At 41.2% G+C, this 24,067-nt stretch overlaps 1 protein-coding gene and 1 long non-coding RNA gene across 17 annotated transcripts in view, besides 2 other annotated features; one reads left to right on the forward strand and one right to left on the reverse strand.

Annotated features, from left to right (window-relative positions):
* Positions 22–461: a silencer, noted in NCBI's record as "silent region_17464". NCBI's record gives its function as "represses an Ori minimal core promoter by ATAC-STARR-seq in GM12878 lymphoblastoid cells {active_cell/tissue: GM12878}" and the evidence as "EXISTENCE:reporter gene assay evidence [ECO:0000049][PMID:35858748]".
* On the forward strand, positions 386–23,594 carry ZBTB24-DT (ZBTB24 divergent transcript). Its single transcript, NR_187591.1, has 4 exons — positions 386–1,579; positions 4,678–4,801; positions 11,207–11,310; positions 23,419–23,594. It is a non-coding gene; the product is annotated as a ZBTB24 divergent transcript (long non-coding RNA).
* Positions 7,349–8,059: an enhancer, noted in NCBI's record as "NANOG-H3K4me1 hESC enhancer chr6:109811810-109812520 (GRCh37/hg19 assembly coordinates)". NCBI's record gives its function as "activates a minimal SCP1, AML or CMV promoter by ChIP-STARR-seq in primed H9 embryonic stem cells {active_cell/tissue: H9 hESC(primed)}" and the evidence as "EXISTENCE:reporter gene assay evidence [ECO:0000049][PMID:30033119]".
* The window catches only part of AK9 (adenylate kinase 9), a 198,348-nt gene continuing 183,877 nt past the window's right edge, over positions 9,597–24,067 (reverse strand). For 12 of the 16 annotated variants that reach the window (XM_047418304.1, NM_001145128.3, XM_011535552.3 and 9 more), the window contains 8 exons: positions 23,396–23,542; positions 23,069–23,289; positions 15,786–15,982; positions 14,538–14,707; positions 14,207–14,305; positions 12,080–12,182; positions 10,723–10,837; positions 9,597–10,313 (listed from right to left, as the gene is read on the reverse strand). In XM_047418304.1, the coding sequence (XP_047274260.1) occupies positions 10,111–10,313; positions 10,723–10,837; positions 12,080–12,182; positions 14,207–14,305; positions 14,538–14,707; positions 15,786–15,982; positions 23,069–23,289; positions 23,396–23,542 (1,255 nt within the window). In that variant the 3' untranslated portion in view covers positions 9,597–10,110. The other 4 variants (XR_942337.3, XM_017010386.2, XM_017010384.2 and 1 more) reach the window with 4 other exon arrangements.

Consider the following 24,067-nt stretch of genomic DNA (forward strand, 5'->3'; position numbering starts at 1 on the left):
CGGACGCCGAACCACGTGGCCCGCAGAGGCGCCCCTGGAGGTGGGGGCCACGAGAGCGGCGGGGAGGGGAAGGGAGGTGAGGGGCGGGGCGGGGCGAGATGGCGGGGCGGGGCGGGGCGGGGCAAGGCGGGGCAAGGCAGGGCAAGGCGGGGCGCGAAGGCAGTTCAAGGGTTGGGGCGTGGCAGGGGAGGGGAGGGGCAAGGCGGGGCGAGAATGCAGGCCTGGGGTCGGGGGAGCCGCGGCGGGGCGGGGCAGGGCGGGGCGAGATGGCAGGCCCGGGGCTTTGGGGCCGGGGCCGGGGCCGGGGCCGGGGCAGGGCGGGGAGGGGCGCGGCTTCGGAGGAGGGACAGTGGCCGGGGCGGGGCGCGGCCAGGGGCGGGGCGGTGTCGGCGCCCGAGGTCCTGCGTGTGGCACTGCCGGGGAGCCCAGGCAGGAGCGACTTTTGCGGTGAATTGGGGGCAATGGACAGGAGAGGCGTTGTGACCCCTCCCTTTGGGAAGTTTTATATCGTATTAAACTGTTAGCTCAACGCCAATACCTTAATTTTATCTCTTCTCCGACACCGAATCTGGTGTTGTTCTTGAATGTATAAAGGCATGAAATCCCCCTTACCGTCATCATCATTGTCATCATCATCACCATCGTCATTATCTAGTGCTAATATAATAACTATTACTTACCTCCTAAATGTTTTTCACATCTGCCTCCTTTTCCTCCCCACTCCTGATGCCTTAGTCTAAGGGAATGAAGAGAGCACTGCAGTCAGAGAAACCTGGGTTCTGAGAGATCTTGGGCAAATTACTTACCCTCACAACTTCTTTACCTTACCTGTAAAATGGAGATGTTAACACTAGTGCCACTTTGGTAGGGTTGCTATTGCATAAACAAAATTAAGTATGTAATGGGCTTAGGAAATGCCTGGTTTAATTCGTCTGCTGTGATTAAAATGATCATTATTATTCAAACTTTCATCATCTTTGTTCAATAGACTGTTTCTAACTGGTCTCAGCTGCAGCGTTGTTCTCTTTAATTCGCAGAAGTACAGAGGATTTCTCCAAGTACATATGAGATCCAGAGACTAGAGTCACTCCTTGGCTTAGAATCCATGTGGCTCCCACATGCCCTCTGGATAAAGTCCAGGCTTCTTAATGTGGTCTACAAGCCCCATCCAGATCTACTCCCCACCTGCTTCCATCCATTTATTTCAGCATTTTCTCTCTCTTAGCCAATACCTAATTACTTATTTTTCTGCCCATTTCCAGATTCCCAACATGCCATCTATAGCCTCCCTGATCTTGAACCGGAGGTGTAATTAGCAACCTGGCTCTTACATTTTTACTAGATTTTATTAAAACTAGCTCAAGCCACACATGCTCCTTCTCTGAGGTTTCCCTTTCATATTGAATTGTCTCTAAGTCCTCTGGATTTGTGGGGGTACAAGTGGGATGGGGAGCGCTCCCTGACTTCTGCATACCAGCAGGAAGTTAGCTACCTCATTGTTTCTTGCTGCTACGAGGGTTGCAGTCAAATCACTGTCCCTCCAGAGGTCCTCAACGGCATAAGAAGACTCAGTGCCAAGGTAAGCCAGGTACTTCCATTTCCTCATTCAATCATTGCTCACTGGAGCATAATCCTGCGAGGAAAGACTGAGTCTGGAGGATCTTCCAGCATCAGCCACCCACAACACAGACTAGCCCTTTCTTCAAGGCAATTTTGTTTTGGATCCATACTGACTTTTTCAAAACTTTTGTTCTTGTTAAGGCCAGCCGGTCTACCCCTAACAGGTCTTCTTAAATTTAAATCTTGCAGAACAGGATTTGGGGTGTCATACATTCATCTAACAGATATTTATCGAGTGTCTACTAAGAGCCAGACATTGGCGTCAGGTGTTGGGGATACAGCAACTAACAAGGCCTTTGCTCTCATGAAGCTTACATTCTACTAAGGGGAGACAGGACAAATATACAAGTAAACTAATGAATAATAGTTTCAGAAAGTGTTAAATTTTATAAAGAATGATGATGGAGACTGACAGGGAAGTGAAATCAGGATAGGGTGACATTTGAGCTGAGATCTGAATGACATGGAGACAGCTGTGGGAAGATCTGGAATAAAAATGTTCTAGGCAAGGGAAAAGCAAGCATAAAGGCTCAGACTGGGAAGGAGCATCTGATGAACGGCAAGGACTGTGTGGCTGGAGCACAGTGAGTGAGGGGCAGCAGATGGAGTGGAGAGTTGCCAGATTTCACAAATAAAGACACAGGACACCCATTTAAAAAAATAAATGCTGCCTCAGCCTCCCATGCTGGGATTACAGGCATGAGCCACCTATACCCAGCCAACAAAGAATTTTTTTTCATATAAATTTAGTGTAGCTTAGAGCGTACAATGTTTATAACGTCTACAGTAGTGTATAGCCATGTCTTAGGCCTTCACATTCACTCACCACTCACTCACTGACTCACCCAGAGCAACTCCTATTCCTGTAAGCTCCATTCATGGTAAGTGCCCTACACAGGTGTACTTTTTTTTTCTTTTATACTGTTTTGTTTTGAGACAAAATCCCACCCTGTTGCCTAGGCTGGAGTGCAGTGACATGATCTCAGCTCACTGTGACTTCTACCTCCTGGTCTCAGGTGATCCTCCCCACTTAGCCTTCTGAGTAGTTGGGACTGCAGACATATGCTACCACACTCCACTATTTTTTTTTTTCCGTATTTTTTGTAGTGATGAGGTTTTGCCATGTGGCCCAGGCTGGTCTTGAACTCCTGGGCTCAAGTGCTCTGCCCACCTAGGCCTTCCAAAGTGCTAGGATAACAGGCATGAGCCATCAGTATACTGTATTTTAAGTGTCTTTCTTATGTTTTGATATGTTTAGATACAGAAATACCACTGTGCTACAGCTGCTTACAGTATTCAGTACAATAACATTCTGTACAGGTTGGTAGCACAGGAGCAATAGGTTGTACCATAGAGCCTAGGTGTGTAGTAGACTATACCATCTAGGTTTGTGTAAGTTCACTCTGTGATGTTTGCACAGTGACGAAGTCACCTAGTGATGCATTTCTCAGAACATATCCCTGTCATTAAGCAATGCATGACTGTACCTATAAAAGAAAACCAGTTAAAATGACAGCTGGTTTCTCAACAGCAATAGTAGAAGCCAGAGGTTAGTGGCATGATACTTTCAAAATTCACCTAAAATCTTTTTTATAGACTACAATTATCATGGAAAAGGACAAAATCAAGACAATTTTGGTCAAACAAAAAATAAAAGTATTAACCTCCAACAAACCCATACCATAGGAAGGAAAATAACACCAAGAGGAAAGTCTGAGGTATAAGAGGGAGTTGTAAGCCAAAAAAAAAAAAAAAAAGAGAAAAAAGTAAGTATGAAGGAAATCTAAACAAACATTGATTATGCAAAATAATGTCTAATTCGGAGAGTAAACAAATAGAGTAGATCTAAAATATTGAATGAAAATACCATTTAAGATGGGAAGCTGGTTATCAGTATTCCAGTGTTTTAAGGGTACAGCTATTGATTACCTTGAGGCTTTACATATACATGGTGAAAGAGTAAGGGACAGCCACTTAATTGGTACAAATAGAGTGCATACTTCAAACACTGTAGAGGAGATAATGGCATTTCAAAGTTATTGGTCAATGCCAGGTCGGGTGCAGTGGCTCATGCCTGTAATCCCAGCACTTTGGGAGGCCAAGGTGGGCGGATCACTTGAGGCCAGGAGTTCAAGACCAGCATGGCCAACATGGCAAAACCCCGTCTCTACTAAAAATACAAAAATTAGCCGGGCGTGGTGGCACAGCTACTTAGGAAGATGAGGCACGAGAATCTCTTGAACCCGGGAGGCGGAGGTTGCAGTCAGTTGAGATCATGCCACTGCACTCCAGGCTGGGCGACAGAGCAAGGCTCTGTCTCCAAAAATAAAAAATAAAAAAAAATAATAAAAAAAAAGAGAGAGAGAAAGAGAAGGATGGAGAGAATGTTAAAGGCAAGAAGAGCCAGATCATGTAAAGTCTTTTATGCCAAGAAAAAGGAGTTTCGATTTTAACTGAAATAGGAGGCCACTGGAAGATTATTCAAAAGGACTGTTGAATCTGACTTATGTATTTAAAAATTACTCCAGCTGCTAGATGAAGAGTAGATCCTGGAGGGACATGAGTGGAGGCATGGATATGAGGGTGACAGCAGTGTAAAATGTAAGAAGAGCCCATATTCAAGGTAGATTTGGGGGATAGGTCTTTCTGAGAGGACTTGCTGAGAATAGATGTGCGGAGTGACGGAAACAATGCAATCAAGATTGACTCCTGGGTTTGGGGCTAAATCAACAGAGTGTACGGTGTTACCATTAACTGATCTGGAAGAAGAGAAGTTGGGTTGGATAACAAGTATGGGGTGGACATATTAAATTTGAAATGTTAACTAGATAACCAAGTACAGTAGGCAGTCATAGGTAACAATCTGGAGTTCAGAGCTGAGAACAGAATTGAGATATTAATAATGGAGTTATCAGAGCATAGATTATAAATTGTTGTAAGTAAGATCAGTTACAGAGTGAATATTGATAAAAGGCGATCCAGATTTTTTCTCTTTCCTCTCCAAATGTAGTCTCCATTCTTCTCTCCTTTTTTTTTTTTTTTTTTTGGCCCTGGGAGGCTACAGGGACTCAAGGACTTCATCATCAAAGTCCTGTGCCGGCTAGCTTCCAGTTGTATTGAGTCAATGGAGAATCTGGCAGATTGGAGGAAGGAGAAGGTCATGATCATCTGGCAATTAAAGGTTAGTGGAAGTCCTTTGTCATGATGAAGGGCATCAAAAATATGTGTGTAGCCTGGGATGGTTGGTTGATAACTGTGGCTGGAAGGAACTATAGTCCAAGGCTTATTATGACTTAAAGGGATTTGGGGAGAACAGAAGGACAATTGTCAATGTTCAGTGCCAATAGTGCATCTTTAGAGGGATTTTATAGCACTAATCCAGTAGTGCTCCAATTTCCAGATCCCATGTGTCCTGTACTACACAAGGGCAGGGCATGTATCTGCTTATATTTTAATCTCCTACTGTACACAGACTGGTAGAATTCTTGTAAATATACACATGCTTGCATATGCTAAGCAGTCTTCAACATGCGTCTCACAGGTTTGGTGAATACGTGTGCTCACAAATTAATTCTTGGAATGTTTTTCACCCCCTGGTTATAATCTCAAATTTGACTTATTTTTTTAAAATTTTACCTGCTTTGATTTTAAAAAGTCCATTTAATTCAGGTGTCACTCCCTCTGATAATTCTTCCCAGAACCACCCATAGTTAAGGGCTCTCAGGCTTTGTAGCTTGATATTCTTTAACCCGGATCTTCATTTGTAAAAGTAAGAACAAACCAAAAAAAAAAAAAAAAGAAAAAACGAAAAAAAAAAATCACCCACAACTAGACAAAGGCGTTCATGTGTAAAATATATCTCTCATTCCTATCCTGTTCTTTCCGTTTTTTTTTTGTTTTTTTTTTTTTGAGACGGAGTCTTGCTCTGTTGCCCAGGCTGGAGTGCAGTGGCCTGATCTCGGCTCACCGCAACCTCCGCCTCCCGGGTTCAAGCGATTTTCCTGCCTCAGCCTCCCGAGTAGCTGGGACTTCAGGTGTGCGCCACCATGCCCAGCTAATTTTTGTATTTTTAGTAGAGATGGGGGTTTCACTATGTTGGCCAGGCTGGTCTCGAACTCCTGACCTTGTGATCCACTCGCCCTGGCCTCCCAAAGTGCTGGGATTACAGGTGTGAGCCACCGCGCCCAGCCTATCCTGTTCTTGAACTTCCTCCCCTTCATCACTGAATTTGTGAAATTTTAATGAATTGCCTGAATTCAACAAATTACCAAATGAATTGCAAATAAAGTGAAAAATATATAATAAAATTGAGAACGTTTAAAAAATATAGTATTTATTACTGTACTTTGAGTTTTGAAGAATTTAAAACCACAGTTCACACCATATCCTGAAATAAATTCTAGAGGACTTAAAGAATTAAATATATATCTTTATTTTTATTTATTTATTTTTCCTTTTTTTTTTTTTTTTTTTGAAATGGAGTCTCGTTCTGTCGCCCAGGCTAGAGTGCAGTGGCGCGATCTCGGCTCATTGTCAGCTCCGCCTCCCGGGTTCACGCCATTCTCCTGCCTCAGCCTCCCGAGTAGCTGGGACTACAGGCGCCTGCCACCATGCCCGGCTAATTTTTTGTATTTTCAGTAGAGATGGGGTTTCACCGTGTTAGCCAGGATGGTCTCCATCTCCTGACCTCGTGATCCGCCCGTCTTGGCCTCCCAAAGTGCTGGGATCACAGGCGTGAGCCACTGCACCCGGCCAAATATATATTTTTTAAAACACAAATAAGTAAAATAAAACAGAATGGAATATTCCATTTCTAGAGATTGAAGAATTTCCAGAGCTTAGAAGACTATTCAAAATCAGCCTGGCCAACATGGTGAAACCCCATCTCTACTAAAAATACAAAAATTAGCCAGGCATGGTGGTGGGTGCCTGTAATCCCAGCTACTTGGGAGGCTGAGGCAAGAGAATTGCTTGAACCTGGGAGACAGAGGTTGCAGTGAGCTGAGAACACACCACTGCACTCTGGGCGAAAAAGCGAGGTTCCATCTCAAAAAAAAAAAAAAAATTAGAAAGCAATGATGAACATGTTTTATGTTAATACCTAAAAAATGGAATATATGTACTTCAAAAGGTTGATGTCTATATTACATAAAGAACTCATGCAGAACAACTTTTAAACGCTGCATAAGTTAGAGGGCAAAGGATGTGATAATAATTCACAAAAGAGAAAATGCAACTGGTGACCAACATATGCAATAATATACAATCTCACTATTAGTTCAGATTAAAGCAAAAAGGTTCTGCTTTTCACCCATTAAAGAAAAAAAAAATGTGAAGATACTGCCAAGTGATTGTAAAGAAGTATTGAAATTGGTGTTCTTGGGTGCTCCTGGAAGCAGTATAAATTGCTGTAATTATTTTGGAAAGTTGCTTGGTAATATGAATTGTGAATATCCATTTAAGAATAGTCATGCCCTTTAACCCAGCAATTTTATTTCTCAGAATTTATATCAGGCTAATAATCCTAAATATAAGAGGGAAAGATTCAACACAGTATTTTATTTATTTTTAAAATTTTTGTAGAGACATGCCCAGGCTGGTCTCAAACTCCTGAGCTCAAGTGATGCTCCCACCTTGGCCTCCCAAAGTGCTGGCATTACAAGCATGAGCCACTGTGCCCAACCTCAACGTAGTATTTTAAAATTTAGTACAACAGTACACAGTCCAGCAATAGGAATGGTCAAATATAGCGTATCTATTCAGTGTGGATCTGAGTGTAACCGTTAAAAAAAAAAAAAAAAAAAAAAAGGAAAGGAAGTACTCCAAAATCCTTTTCCTACTTTTCCACATTTCATTTACTGTTTGACTTAGGATCTGTCAAATGGAGACTGCTTCTCCTTCTTGGGTGAAGTTATTGTTGCTGTGAAAATGACATCTAGACAAGCCATGGAGAGGCATAGGCTGGTTGGAGTTTCCCTTGCCCTTAAAGCTGCACTGCCTCAGCCTCTTCCTGAAGCAGTCAGGATTGGGGCAGCAGCTGGAGGATGGGGGTGGGCAAAAAGGAGTCTCTCTCAGCCTCAGTGAGCACCGTGGCCTGGCCACCCACTCTGTTATTGTTTCACATAGGGAAGGTTTAAGGGTCCCTGGACACCCATTCAGAATATTCTTTCATCATATTTGGGACGCTAGTTAATGGATTATTTGTAATAATATGCAAGCATAATTTCTAAACAAAAGCAGAATTTCAATAAGAAGCTTTAAAGGATACATGTTCTTATTGCAGAAATGTTGTTCTCCCTTGTTAGGGACACAGACCCCTTGACATGGAAAACACAGCTTGCTCCCCTGAGAAGGAAAGCAAACATGATAGGTGGGTGTGAGTGCACGTATGTAATGGGCCTGGAGGGGAGTGGTTCTCAGGCTCCAACAAGACGACTTTCCCAAGGGTCTCCCGTATTTTTTTTGTACTCTAAAGTACACTCACACATACACACAGACACACACGGACACTACTGACACTACTTAAGAACACTGACACTGTGATGGTGGTTTGCAAGATGTGCTTACAGTGCAGGAAGTGGTAGGGGTAAGAGCAAGGCTCTGTAGTAAGGCAGATCAGGGTCTGAATCTGGATAGTACTTATGTGATCTTGGGTAGGAAGCTCTTCTCATGTGTAATAATGAGATGAGATAATGCATGAAAAGCCACTAGCACGCTCTCTCTGGCCACATAGAAAGCAGCTGGGAAATAGTAGCTGTGTCAGTAGTTATTCTAAATAAGGCTCCAAATGTAGCTAACTGTAGTTGCATGTGAATGGGAGGGACCTGGGGTGTCCAGCACTAGAAGCTACTCTAGGAAATTTGACTCCTTACTCCTTCCCCACTCCTCCTACCTGCTATACTCTGTTGTATATATTTACTCAGAGGAAGAAACTCTATGGAGAGAGAGGTGAAAAGGGAGAATCACATGGCTTTTGGTTGCTGACTCAGCTCAGGGACTGAGCTTCTTCCTACTAAGAAGATAAAGGGCATTTGCCCTAGTTTTGTGCAGAATTCAGCAGCTCCAGAACAATGATGCATGAGATGTTAGAGCTCAGAAGACAGCATCCTTGGGCTCATAAGAGTTCTCAGGGCGAAGCCATACTAGAGAACTTCATCCCCAGGAGATGTGCAGTGGGTGTGGACTTTCTCTGGAGCACATGGGACACTCCCTGGAGACCCCAAGAAACACTCAGCGGTATTCTGCAGGGACTGCTGCCCTTCGTAAAGGCAGGGGCACTGAAGCAATGAAGTTTGGGTTTAACTGCTAAAGCAAACTCATCATACCCATAGGCTGAAGAGACCTGAGAACATTTATATCTTGTCAAGAATGAAAAAGCCAGTAGATTTCAGTTGGTGATAGAAAGATGGTAAATTACAGGCATTAAGAAATGGGCAGGGAGCAAAAATGGGGCTTAAGTTGCCAGCAAAACTTGGTAGCTATTGGCAACTCCCAGCCTCCTGAAAAAGTAAAGGCTTTTGAGGTTTATCCTAACTTTGGCAATAGGCTTCCAGCTTTTGTTTAAAAATCATTTTATTATGAAATATATAATGCAAAAGATATATAAAAAGGCTTCTAGTTTTTAATTAACATTATTGAATTTATAGGGATCAAAGAGCTAAACCATTTATCGTGGAGATTAAGAAATGAAGGCTCAGAGAAATTTACCCAAGGTTACACAGTTAATGGTCATATTTTTTATTTTTTAAGAGTCAATCTTGCTGTTTCCTATTCCAGATCCTTTTATATTGCTGCTGAAAATTGTTATTTTAAAAATCTCATTAAATTCAATTTAGTAAGTTTTCTTCTAGCATATACTGAGTCATATAATGACTCTAGATTTCATCCTTCTTAAAATTCCAGGTAATTTCCAATTATAAAATAAGGTATAAAGCATGCTTCAATGAATACTTAAGAAAAAGAAAAGAGGCAGCCAGTAAGTTGTTGCAAAATCCATTTATTTTATTGGGAAAATGATAGTATCTTATGTTCACAAAGTTCACAAACAGTTTTGTATGTAAAATGTATAACCCATATTTTGGTTTCATTTATAACAATGTTAAATGTCTTAAAGCTTTCTAACATTTAATGAGTAATTTTAACAGAGACTGACTTTTCTACTGAAAATGTTAAAAAGGAAAATAATACATTTATTAAATAAGTCACTTAACTTTTCTATATGGAATTATAAATAGAATGTTTATTTTGTTAAAGCATCAAAGTTCAGGCAAAGAGCAATACATTTTAAAATTGTATTAAAACTTGTTTCCATAAGAGTGCTCCTTCCTGGCTGGCAGACCTTTGAGTTCACCTGAAGTCTGGCAGCCATGGTACCTTGCTCAGGAGGCAAAAGTACTTCCAAGAGGCCCAGATTTTCAATCTACTTCTCTCAGTTTCCCTCTATCACTTTCAGATAACTCTTGAGATTCAGGCTGCTATCACCTAAGTAAACTACCCATTAATTGGGTCTATATTTCTGAGAGAGAGAAAGGTCTTTAACTTATGATCAAAGTCAATGGCTCTGAACTGAGGTTCCTTGTATTTTCTGGTCATCTTGGCACCCAAGTATGTTATGAGTTCACAACTCTCCATAAACTGCTCCATCTTCTTCTTATACTTTTTTCTTGTGTATTCGGAACCTTTGGGATTAAATGCTGTAGAAAATTTCACAGAACTGTGAATAATTTCTGCTAGTTAGTGAGTCATTAAATGAAAGAGACCTGGATGTGTGGTTGAGTTAGTTACACAGTTATGGTTGAGAAGATATCCAAATCCCAAATAAAATCTGGAGATTATTCTGTTTTAGGTCATAATTGCCTCTATTCACCCTTCTTTATGGCATGGATTATTGACAGCTGACTGTATTACTTAGTCCCTACTTTGAAAATAGAATTTTAACTTTGACATTTTATTTAAAATATTTGCCCTGTATTGTATTTGCTACTAACACTCTCTCTTTCTCTCTCACCAAGCAGGCAACACAGTTTAACAATCCTATTCATCACTTATACTACCATTAATGTTAAATTTGTTCTGAGTAGTAAATAATTAAAAAAGACATACCTTTGAGATGAAGTGCTATATATAGCAGTGCAGATCTCCTTATACTTAAAAAGGGGAACTTGGGCTTTAAGCATCCCGCTGCATTCATTGCTTTAATTAGAGAAGTTGCAATACCCTGCAGGGAGGGAACAATTCAAATTCTGTGTATACTTGAGTTTGGTTTCTTTTCTTAGTGCCAATAGATAAACAGGCAAATATTATTTCTTTGCCTCAAATAGCCCCCTGGAGTGGGGATGGGGCTTATAAATATGGTTAGATGACCAGTTAGCCAACAGGAAAGAAATACAAAATACATTTGATTAGGAAAAATGAAAATTACAAACTGACTTAGTGTCAGCTAAGTGATGGATAGGAGTATGGGCTTCATTACACAAGTCTCTCTATTTTTATATGTTTGACATTTTTTATAACAAAAAGTTAAGAGAAGAAAGAAGGGGACCCTAGGCTTTGCGATATCTTGGCCCGTATCTGCTTTCATTCTCAGAAATGGCCAGACTGCCTCCCACTCTGAGGACCCTTGGCTACCTGACACGTAATTCCAGAGACCACAGTAGTCAGTGCTGGCAAGATTCCAGAGCCCAGAAGAAGGTAAGAGGCCCTCCTGATAAAAATTGGCCTTCATGAGAATACTCCCCTATGGGTGGGCCTCATCTGGCATTTTGATGTTAAACAAGACTGAAGGCTAACCTTATAGGCAAGTTGAAAAAATCAGAGTGGTTAAGAATTGCTGACAAAGGTTTGACATTGTGCCCTAAGCATTTATTTTGTAGACTTTTTTTAAAAAAAGCTTTAAAAATAGTAAAAATAAAATAAAATAGTAAAGATAGCAGTTGGCTGCTGCTAAGTTTTGCTATTCTTAAAAAGTTATACTTGGATAAATAAAGTATAACTTAAATAGAATAAATAAATAACAGTAAATAAAACTGACTTTATCTGGATGTGGGGCAAAATATGGGCTTTTTGGTCTGGTTGTGTCACTGTAACTCTTTTGGGTAGTCAGTGAATGATCCTCTCACGGACTGAATCTGCACATTTCAAATTATGAAAAGTTTCACAGACATTGAAATTCAAAAGTAAGAACCAAACTACATATCTAATTCAAATGGAAACAATTTTGTGGCGCTCTACTTTCTCTTCACTTTAGTGCAGATATTTGGGAATTAGCTATGGAAGCAGGGGATTTTCACACATTTTATTTTAACCACTACATATAAACAAAATAGGCTGAGAGAATTTGCAGCTTAAAATCAGAAAACTCTGCCTTGAATTTTATTGTTCCCAAAATGAAAATTAGTGTTAAAAAGAAGAAGTCATTGTATTCTTCTAACATATATAACAGAAAATTAAGTAAAAGAACCTGTTCCAGATATCCAGGCAAAGGAAGACTAGTAAGAAGTATCGGTTCCCTTAATGGGGGAAGCTTGTGTGGAAGCTTCTGTTCCCAGTATTTCAGTGGCGACCTAAGAACACAAAGTTCATTAGATGGATGCTCACAGTTATACTCAGTGTGTATAGATAGGAATAGACAAGAGACTATTAGAAGATAAAGTTCACTACTTTTTCTGCACTGGAGAAAATGATACAAGTGGGAATGCTGGGGCTCCTGGAAGTGCACAGCCACTCATGTCAACTGGGTACCCAGCCCTACTCACCTCGACTCAGTTTTCTCATTTTTCACAGCAATTATATAAAACTTTCTTTATTTTCCTTAAACTTCTGACTCTCCCAAATGCCCCCTCACCCCCAGGCAGATGCCATGCTGTACTCAGAGAAGCCATCAGGATGGGACTTCCTCAGCCCATCACAAGCAGAGCTACCCACTTGTTCTCTTCCCATGGTGGAGGTGCCTCCCATCTGAGACCAGGTCCCTTGGTCCCACCGCTCCCTCTCTCCAGGCATCTTACTACAGCACCTGCTTGCTCCCTGCCCTGGCATCTTTGCCACTTCCTTATTGGGTCCTTCCTGTGCATATGCATTTAAACATCTTCATAATTCCCCATTTAAAAAAAAAAAAAAGAAAAACCATTTTTACTCCTTAAATCCTATATGCCTTCCAGAAACGAACATCTCTTCTCTTTTTATAATTAAAACTTCTTCAAACAGTGGCTTCACTAGAGATTGCAAGCTACCACACAAATTTTATCTGCAGATGGGATTTGATCCACATGTATTTTATTTTTAAATTTGAATCAGATGTGGATGTTTAGGAATGTGAACAATTTAAACAGCAATAATACTTTCCAGCTTCTTCCAGCAGTAGATGGGCAGCTCTGGTCCCCTCAGCCGGCCGTGTGCAGTCCGGTTTGCACCAGGCCCCCTGACTCCTGTGTCTTCACACCCAGCCTGCTTGCCTCAGGTCCCTCGCCTCCTGGCTGCTGCAGGCACTGTGTTTGTTTGTAGCCTCTGGACTACAGGCAAGAGCTCAGTTTCCTCAGCTCTGCTCCTTGGAGCTCTGTAGTCACGTCCTCTCACATCACTTGACAAAACCATTCTTGGCAAGATTACTAATGACCTGTTACACCCTAAATCTCAAACGCTTTTCAGCCCTTGTCTTGCTTGACCTCTGAGGAGCATTTAAACCTGTTGCCATGCCATCCCTCCCCTCCGCCTCCCTCAACCCTCCTCATCCTGGCTCTCCTTTCATGTCTCTGTGGTTCTTCTTTCTCAGTTTCTCTTGTAAGCTCTTCTGACATTCATGCATTGGTGTTTCTCAGGGTGTGGTCCCAAGCCCGCTGCCTTCCCCACATAACTATGGATGAGCTCAAACATGCTATCATATTTCAGACAAGATCACTCTGGCAGCCTCATCACTGGTAGTCCAATCCATGGTCTACACTTTAGTAGTGGTCTGACCCCAGAGCAAATTTGATTCCAACACGGACCTCACTTACAATCAGTCAATGTGCTCAGATTGCCCTCAGGATCACTATGAGGACACAAACTGTGTACACAGCATGAGTCCATGAAACCGCAAACGCTTCATGGTGGTCTTACTTGACCTTCCACACTCTGACCCTGCCCTCCACCTCCAGCCTCGCCTTCACTCCGTCCCCTCTCCACATCACATCCAGCTATGCTGAAGTTCTTACAGTTCAGGAATACCCTAGACCAGGTTTGTTGTAGGTCCCTCTGCTTGGAACATGTCCCTCTTTTCCTTCATCTAGCCAATTCCCACTCCTTATCCTGACCTTACACCCACACACAATTCAGTTAGACCTTTGGGCTACACTCTCTCAGAAGTCCAGGCATTTCCCCACCCTAAAGTCCATCACATTCTGTTGTTACCAGGCACTCAAAATCCATCTTACCCTGGACAGCTTTGGGATGGCAGGGACCAGTGCTTGTTCACACACACACACACACACACACACACACACACACACTCTCTCTCTCTCTCTCTCTCTCACACACTCCTCTCCCCCGTTCCCAGCATGTTGCATGCAACACAGATTTTCAGTAAATATTTGTGATTTAATGGTCTCACCTCAAAAATTTCTGGAGTTTTTCTTTGTTCTCACAAATATATATACGATTATGATATTCTAAAGCATAGTTAATGCTACCAGGTACTAGAGCTTCATATCTGGAAGACCAAAAAACAAAACAAAACCTCTATTGTATAATTAATATGCAGTCCTGTGTAAATAAAAAGTCAAAAGTATTTTATTTTTCTACCTATGTAGCTCAAGGAAGAAATAGAATATTTTTCCAATTAAACAACAGCGAACTTTTGACCAATATGTTAAGATTATTACATGAACCACTTCTTTGGCGTAGCAATATCATTCTATACTTCCATGAAGGCCAGGACTTGCCTTTGGTTTCCATCCTTATAGGTCACTGGACAGTAGCCCTGGAGCTCCGCACACTTAGGGAATCGACTCTTCAGCTCTGACAGTGTCAGTCTTTTGGGGATCATGTCAGCAGATGGGAGTGGATGAGGTGCTAAGGGAGGCACGTACAATTCTGGGTTCTCCAAGAATTTCTATTAAAAAAGAATTCCAGTAGCAACATGATTTAAACCAGAAATGCTATGCCAATCAGAAGGCCACCGAGGCTCTCCTGCACCCTCCCCATTTTCAGTAGCAGCGTTCTGCTGCTCCTCAAACTGTAAATAACCTCTCCTCTGAAAGGAAGTTCCTTACAGGAATACTCCCAAGTGATCACATCCAAGATTTATCCTCATCTCAGTCACTCATTCATTCATTCCTACAAAAAACACTTGTTGCGCTCCTACTACACTACAGTCACTGGAGAGAGCAGGCCCCTGCCAGCCCGTATTCCTGTCCTGCTGTGTAATTAACCGGTTGGGTGCCTTTGGCAGGTGAGTTAACTTCTCCAGCTTCAGGTATTGCTCTGTAAAATGGAGGGGGTGGGCCAGATACATGGCCTTTAATGTCACTTCCAGTTTTAAAAATTCTATGATTACCATTTAAGTAAGCAGGAAGAAATAAATATCTCATAATAAAGGGAACAACAATTCTAATTCTGCAAGGAAATAAAATGTTCAGAGGCATCTGTTTTTTCTTGTTGTTGTTTTCAACTACCAATCTTTTAAAATCATCAAATTTTGGACATTATAATATGAGACGAAATCTATTTTCTGTTCCATTAAGCAGAAATATAAGGTATACAAAGAGTTCTAGTGATAGAAAAAAAATTAAAGCAAAGGAGACATACGTCAGCTCTTGCTTCATTTCTACTGACTCTGATTCCCTTCAGCACCCCTGGGTGCTGAATCCCCTGGATCCTCAGTGGGCTGAGTCCTTGTTGTTCAGCATCTCTTCCATTGATGGGGCTCACTGTTGGCTCTCCTTAGCCGTTAGGCTGGCCTAGGCCAACAGCCAATTAATGACCCTGGACTCCTGCAATGTTTCAAATTATATCCTGGGATGCAGTTTTGGAACTCACTGCTGAGTTGCTTCACTGGTCCCAGAGTCACAAGTTCCAGTAATGGGGCTCCTAGTCCCAAGTTTCTGGGTGCCTATCCCTTCCTATTGATTGATTCCAAGATAAGACATTTTCTTTCTTTAGTAAATATTTGGAGTTAGGAACAAACTTACATTCAGTTTTTCCTGAGAACTCATTTTATAGTAGTGCCCCCTGAACTCTGCTGCAAATTCCAAGGAGTCAGTTGCAGAGCAATCAAATAATTCCTGGGATTCTGCCAGGCTGACAGGGCAGAACTGTTCAAATTCTCCCAGGCGAGAAAGCAGCTCTTGAGGTGTGATACATAACTTGTCAATGCAGGCAGCTTTTCCTATTATTAACATATTAACTATTATCATGTATATATTTTTCATAGAGAACGCAATGATTTTAGAAATTAAAATAATTTTAATTACACAGCACTATACATACACATTATAAAATTCCAAACAATAGAGTAAAAAGTAAAAGTTACTATTCACATCTCCATTGTTTCAATCCAATACTTAACCTGAGAGGTAATCATCACTGTTGGATTTGTATCTTTTTCAGTCTTTTTTCTATACCTTCACATACATACTTTTTTGCATATAGTATGCTTGTGCCACTATACTATAAACATTATTCTGCAACTTGCTTTTATCAGTCAGTTATGGTCTTTGACCTCTTTTCATATAAGCTTATATAATTTACCTAATTTTTTTTTTTGAGATGGAGTCTCGCTCTGTCACCCAGGCTGGAGTGCAGTGGCGTAGCTCGATCTCAGTTCACTGCAGCCTCCCAGGTTCAAGTGATTCTTGTGCCTCAGCCTCCCAAGTAGCTAGGATTACAGATGTGTACCATCACAGACGGCTAATTTTTTGTACTTTTAGTAGAGACAGGGTTTTGCCATGCTGGCCAGGTTGGTCTCGAATTCCTGGCCTCAGGTGATCCACCCACCTCGGCCTCCCAAAGTGTTGGGATTACAGGCATGAGCCTTCCGTGCCTGGCCAATTTACCTAATTCTTTTTAATCGATGCATAGTATTCCACTGTATAAACATACATGTAGTTTACTCAACCATTTATCTATTGGTGAATGTTTTGGCCGTTTTAGTTCTTAGCTATTATAGACTATATATATGATACACACACACACACACACACACACACACACACACACACAATTTATACCTGTGTATACCCGCACATTTATAAACTTGCTACATTTAAAAAAAACCTATGGGCTAGATTTCAGGAAGTGCAAATAGTTTGTTGACATGATGTTACTCACACAAAGTTCTCCCTGTGCCCAGATCCCACCCAAGAGAAGGAAAACAAACATTTATCCAAAAGTGATTGGCTTTATTCTAAAGAGTAGATTTTAAAAAGAAAGTGCCCAAGTTCCTTTAATGAACAAGATTAAGAGTTTTCTCTCTATGCTTACCCAGAACAAAAATGTAAGTACACACATAAAAAAGAGAGTTTTCTCTCTAATACTCCACTGGAATGGGGACTTCAAAGCAATATAAGATGTTATAGAAAATAAAATTACTTTTTAAATACATTTTAGTTATAATGAGTGGACTTATTATAGCCAGTACGTTTTGTTAGTTGTCGTTTTACCAAGGCAAAGTTTTACCTTTTTAAAAGATTATGCCTAGGAAGGTCCTAAATTAACCATAAAATTATGAAGCAAAAATCATAGTTTGTTTTTTGTTTGTTAGGATAGAAATGATCTCATCTGCAATGTACTATTACAGCACTGTAATCCCTTATCTAAGACCCTTGGGGCCAGAAATGTTGGATAATTCAGAATATTTTAGATTTTGGAAACGCATCACACTCAGCCAGGTGTGGTGGCTCACGCCTGTAATCGCAGCACTTTGGGAGGCTGAGGTGGGTAGATCGCTTGAGTCCAGGAGTTTAAGACCAGCTTGGGCAACATGGCGAGACCCTGTCTCTACAAAAAATACAAAAATTAGCCCTCTGTGGTGGCACATGCCTGTAGTCCCTGCTACTTGAGAGGCTGAAGTGGGAGGAACACTTGAGCTTGGGAGGTGGAGGCTGCAGTAAGCCACTGCACTCCAGGCTGGGCAACAGAGTGAGACTCTCAAACAAACAAACAAACAAAATGAAAGAAAAGAAATACATCACACCCTCACAGTGTCTGGAGAAGCACCCTGTAATCGATAAGATGAAATTTCTGCAACCAAATAGGTTGACCCTTCCCCACTTACTGGGTTTCATAAAAAGACTGTAAATAGCCATATGTCAGCTCATGTGAAGTTTTGCCCTCAAATGATTTATAACTAAACTTGATATTTTTAGAGGTTTTTGGATTTTGGAATCACAGGCCAGAGGTGTCATGTCACTTGATTGCCTCACTGATCTGCCTGCCTGTACTGGGGAGGAGGGTGTGGGGGTCCAGGAGATGATGTCCCCTGATACCAACTACCATTTCCACTCTTCAAAAGGCCACATGTAATCCTGAAAAGGAGATGGTTGGGAAACCGTGCCCAAAGAGGTTTCCATTATGCAATCTCTCCACAATCCTGCTTTTAAACAGGGAGTAGGAGAGGGGGAAAGGAACATACACAACATGAAGGGATCTTTATTAACTGGCATTCCTTTAAGCAATCACAGCCCTCCTTCAATAAGGCAGGCATTTAAAACCATTGCTTATTGGCTCTCATCCTCTATTCATCTCTTGCAGGCAAAGAATCATCAGTGTGGCATCAGCACTACTCCTAACAAGGTCTTTAGGACATAAACTGATAAAGTGACAGTATTTTCCAAATGGTAACATCTAAGACTCATCAGAGTCAGCAGAGGTCAATTAGAATCCCCAACTCAACTTCTGAGTCCCAGAAGAAAGGCTACCAGCCATGAATGAATCCTGACCATATCATTAGGTTCTGGTCTTCTCTGAAGAGCTGAGAGCCAGCTGGATGGGATCTCCTGAATGTCTTTGTGCCTGTTTCACAGAGTTAACAGAGGGCTTTCTAGGAGAGCATTATTGGCCTTAAAACAAATGACTTTGAACCTTACCATACCTTACCACATAAAATTATTGTCACTTAACATTCCCAATTGCCCAATTAATCTGAACATAAATCTGATTGTGAATTCCTTCACCATATCATCATATCATGTGTATCACTGGAAGCCACAGGGTGGGCTGATCTGACATGACTCCAGTGGTATTCTTGATCCCTGCCTTGTGGTGTTCCTGCCTTTGTGTAATCTCCTCCCCCATGTGTGGGCTGGACTGAGTAACTTGCTTCGAATAAACAGAATATGGCAAAAGTGAGGGGATGTCACTTCCAAGATTAGTTTACCATTATGGCCTGAATTACGTTTCCCAAAAAGATATATTGAAGTACCCCCAGTACCCATGAATATGACCTTATTCGGAAATAGGGTCAGAGAAATACACACAAACAGACAGATACGGAAGGGAGAATGACATGTGAAGACACAAAGACACACACATGGAGAACGCCATGTGATGACAGAGGCAGAGACTGGAGTGATGTGTCCACAAGCTCAGGAATGCTGAGGATTTCTGGCAACACTGGAAAAACAGAAAGGCATGGAATAGATCCTCCCCTAGAACCTTCAGGCAGAGGATGGCCCTGTCAACACCTTGATTTTGGACTTCTAGCCACCAAAACTGTGACACAATACATTTTTGTTGTTTAAGCCATCCAGTTTGCGGCAGTTTGTTTCAGCAGCCCTAAGTAAAACAATTACAAAAGATGGACACTCTTTCTTGCCCTTTCAGGTTGTTCACTTGATAAAGGAAGCTGCCATGTTGGAGAGATTCACATGGCAAGGAACTGAGGGTGGCCTCTGGCCAATAGCAGCCAGCAAGGAACTGAGGTCCTCAGTCCAGTAACACTTAAGGAACGGAATCTTACCGACATCACATGAGTGAGCATGGCAGTGGGCTCTTTCCCAGTTGAGCCTTCAGAAAAGACCATAGTCTTGGCTGTCACCTTCACTGTAGCCTTGTAAGGGACTACCCAGTTAAACTGTGTTCAGATTTCTGACCCACAGGAACGGTATGTGTGTGTGTGTGTGTGTGTGTGTGTGTGTGTATTATTTTCAGTTGCTAAGTTTTGGACTAATTTGTTATGCAACAATAGATAACAAATACACTATTCTATCTGTTGCTTATGACACAGATGAAAAGGCTAAGAAGTTCCAATATTGATTTTCTACAAAGAATATTACACTACTATGATACTATAGTGGTACTATAATATGTAGTACTATAGTACAATAATATATAGTATTATTAAGGTATATAGTATTATAATACAAAGTATTATATTATACTACATGGTGCTATAGTATTCTAATACTATCTATTTCTTGGTTGCTCTTTAGCTCAGATGTACTGAACCTCACCAATCCTGACAGGTTTAGTGACAGGGTAATTTAGAATCGTGTAACTTCAAGTCTCAAAAGACACCCAAATGTCTCTTTTTCTAATTATTGGGATATTCTGGATGACATCTGGCAATGTCTAGGTACCCTCTTCTGGAACGTGGCAGGAGGAATCTCTTTAATTCTCTAAGCCCCAGCCTTGTACCATCTCACTGATCAGGGTAAACCTTGGCCTCCTGGTAGGAGAGGATCATTTGAACAGTAAACAAAGGAAACAGAGCATGAAAAAAACCAAAACTAAATTCAAACAATCAGGTACAGGCTAGATTATCAGGCGGACGCTGAAGCAGAAGAGAACAGGACAGACTTCACTGAGATGAAACTATGTGTGAGAGAGGCAGGCACTGGAATCATGTAGTGGATCCTTAGTTCCCTCTCTAGGGCTGACATACCCACCCTGCAGCTGCTGGGCACCTGGCACTGATTGCTCACAGCTGGACTGGAAATTGCCCTTCTGTCACAGCTTACGCAAGTTATACTCCCTCCCGGGGTGGCCTGCGGTCAATGACAGGCTGATGCGAGGGTGGAGAGGATACAAAGCCTGGACCCTCCCCCCACTTTGGGGACATTTTGAAGGTCCCTCCCAGCACCAGTGTTTCCCCAGGATCTACTGAGGGCTTCTGTTCCCACCACACTGCAGGTTAGTTTCTCCCTCTGCCCAATTTGACCATCCTGACTTGTCCACAGGTGTATCTCCTGATTAGAGTTGCTGGATAAAATAAAGGACACTGCTGGGTGCAGTGGCTCACGCCTATAAACTCAGTACTTTGGGAGGCTGATGTGAGAGGATCGCTTGTAGCCAGGAGTTTGAGACCAGCCTGGGAAACAAAGTAAGACTGCCCCCTCCAATCTCTATAAAAACATTTAAAAAATTAGCTGGGCATGGTGGCATGCATCTGTAGTCTTAGCTACTGGAGAGGCTGAGGCAGGAGGATCCTTTGAGACTAGGAGTTCAAAGCTACAGTGAGTTATGATTGTACCACTGCACCCCAGCCCGGGAAACAGAGCAAGCCCCTGTCTCAAAAAATAAAAAATAAAATTAAAGAATACCTGTTTAAGTTTGAATTTCAGATAAGCAATGAATATTAATAGTTTTTAGTATGAGTATACCCTATGCAATTATTTGGGATATACTTATACTAAAGAATTATTGTTTATCTGAAATTTAAATTTAACTGGGTGTCAGTCAGGCATGATGGCTCACACCTGTAATACTAGCACTTTGGGAGGCAGAGGAGGGTGGATCACCCGAGGTCGGGAGTTTGAGCCCAGCCTGGTCAACATGGTGAAACCCTGTCTCTACTAAAATACAAAAAATTAGCCGGGCATGGTGGCGCACACCTGTAGTCCTAGCTACTCGGGAGGCTGAGGCACAAGAATTGCTTGAACCCGGGAAGGGGAGGTTGCAGTGAGCAGAGATCACACCACTGCACTCCAGCCTGGGTGACAGAGTGAGACTCCTTCAAGAAAAAAGAACTGTGTGTCCTGTATTTTTAGTTGCTAAATCTGGCAACTCTACGCCTGAAAGTACTTTCTGATAAAACTTCTGCACGTGACTTTTCATCTTGAGTCTGTTTCTAGGGAACCCAGTCTAAGACAGGGAGGCTGAAATAGAGTAACAGAAAGATGAATGAGGCACAGCTTTCGCTTTCAAAGTCTGCTGTGGAGTGTTTCCCAGTGCGATCCCATCCAGAGCTTATTGAGATATTTCTAAAAATTCAATTCTCCCTTCCCTTGCACTTTTGTCTTCATGCCTTATGATCTTTAGGTGAAAACAGATTCCCAATTTGTAAACAAACAGGAACCAGAAATACTGGTTATGCCCACATGGTGAAGCAAATCAAGATACAGTGCTGCAGTTATTATTGGAATCCTCACTGCATTTTTCTTTGTATAGGACTCTCTTAGTCACATTGCTCCCATAAACCTCATCATACCTTCTGTGTAGTTTCTGAAGTTAAACACAATCATTAAACAGATGTCTGTGAGACCCCTACAGATCACATCTTTGTAGTCATCACTCTTTTTAGAGATATCAGATGTAGATAACTTTCCTTGTATTTTGTGTATTTTCAGAGAACAGTCAATAAACTATTTAACAAGAATATATAATCAAACATGTGCTTCTGTGAATTCCTAATATAGATTAAAAGACATTTTAATGAACAAGCTTAGTTTTTTTATGGACTCAACATTTATATCATACTATAATGGGTGTAAATAGTAAAAATAATTTTAATTCTAGATTCCTAAATAAAATTTTGCCAGGTGTCACTCTGCAATCATGGACCCGTATAACTACTGCACACATTCTGAAAAATAGCTTCTTACTATTCCAAACACTATATACCCTTTTAGTGAGAGATCATGCATTATTTTTATGTCCTAAATTCACATAGGCATTCAATAAATGATAGCTTGGGTAGCGGCAGTCATTTATTAGAACAAACATGCCCACGTCATAATCTATTTTGGCTGCTATAACCAAATGCTACAGACTGGGTAATTAATAAACAACGGAGATTTATTGCTCACAGTTTTGGAGCCTGGGAAGTCCAGAATCAAGGTACCAGCAAATCTGGTATCTGGAGAGGCACTGTTCCTCATAGATGGTGCTCTCTTGCTGTATTCTCATGTGGTAGAAGGGACAAGCAGGCTCCCTCAAGCCTCTTCTATAAGGGCACTAATCCCATTCATGAGGGCAAGCCCTCATGATGTAACTACTTCCTAAAGGCCCCACCTCTTAATACTATTACACTGGGGATTCGGTTTCAGCATATGAATTTTGGGTGATACAAATTTCAGACCATAGCATCACAATAATTGGATAATACTATTATATATAGTATTGGATAATAAGTATTGAAATACTTATTAAGTCACGCCTGACTCATGTTCAAATGGAATGAATTACAGTAACATGAGTCAGGCATGTTTACACTTGAAATTAATATTTTATTCTACCTTAAAAAGTGCTATCTTACCTGCTTTTATTCTTTCCAGGTATGTCTGCATGTATTTATTCACCATTTGAACATTCTTAATGACTTCATTCCATACCCACCATTTGCTGTGAAATCCATCAATCACATACCAGTTCTGATGCTGTTCTTGATAATATTGCCTAATCTCACCAATATTTTTGCGATACTTTACATTATTGACAGCTACAATTTGTGCACTATTGTGCAATGGATAAGGCAATCTAATAGGGAAACAGAGAAGGAATGGAAAAAGCTGTTAAAAACATATCTTTTCCCCCGTATGATTAAAGTTTATTCCTTTTTTGTTGTCTTCATCATGTACATTACCTTTGTTCATTTTCTTTTTCTAGGAGCAATCTTTTGAAAATCTCCTTGGAAGGCACACTCAATTCAAAGATGACCATGGGAATGATTGACCTAGCTTCCAAGAGATTCATTTGATGTTTAGTTACAGGATATCCATCGATGACAACACTAACAAGGAAAAACATGAAAATAAAAATTCCACATTTCTTTTTCTCTCGTACTTCCTTTCTGTCTTCCAGAACCAGTCTGTCTCTTTAGGAGTAGCTCATGATTTTCCTTATGTAACTCAATTTATTTTCTTCACACTTTGCCCTCTTCATCTCTACATCTTTAATCTCAGTCAGGCCAAGAGCCATGAGGTGGGCAGGACACATCCAAACACAGTTCAGAAGGTGGGCGTAGGAGAGAGCTCTGAATTTCTACACTCAGCATGCTGGAGATAGATTTTGGCAGAATTTGACAGATAACTCCCACAGTACCTTGAATATTGTGTTCAACTGGTGCTGTTAATCTAAACATGAAAGAGTATAGCTTTAGAGGCAGATAACTTTAGATTTAAAACCTGGTTTGAACTTTCTAAGAGGAAATGATGTTTAACTCTTAGAGTTGTTTTAAAGATTGGAGATCAGGTATGTAAAGCAACTAGAGTAGGACCTGGTACATATTAGATGCTCAAGAAGTAGTATTTTAGTA

This window comes from Homo sapiens, chromosome 6 (assembly GCF_000001405.40).
Source record: "Homo sapiens chromosome 6, GRCh38.p14 Primary Assembly".
NCBI classification, from domain to species: Eukaryota; Metazoa; Chordata; class Mammalia; order Primates; family Hominidae; genus Homo; species Homo sapiens.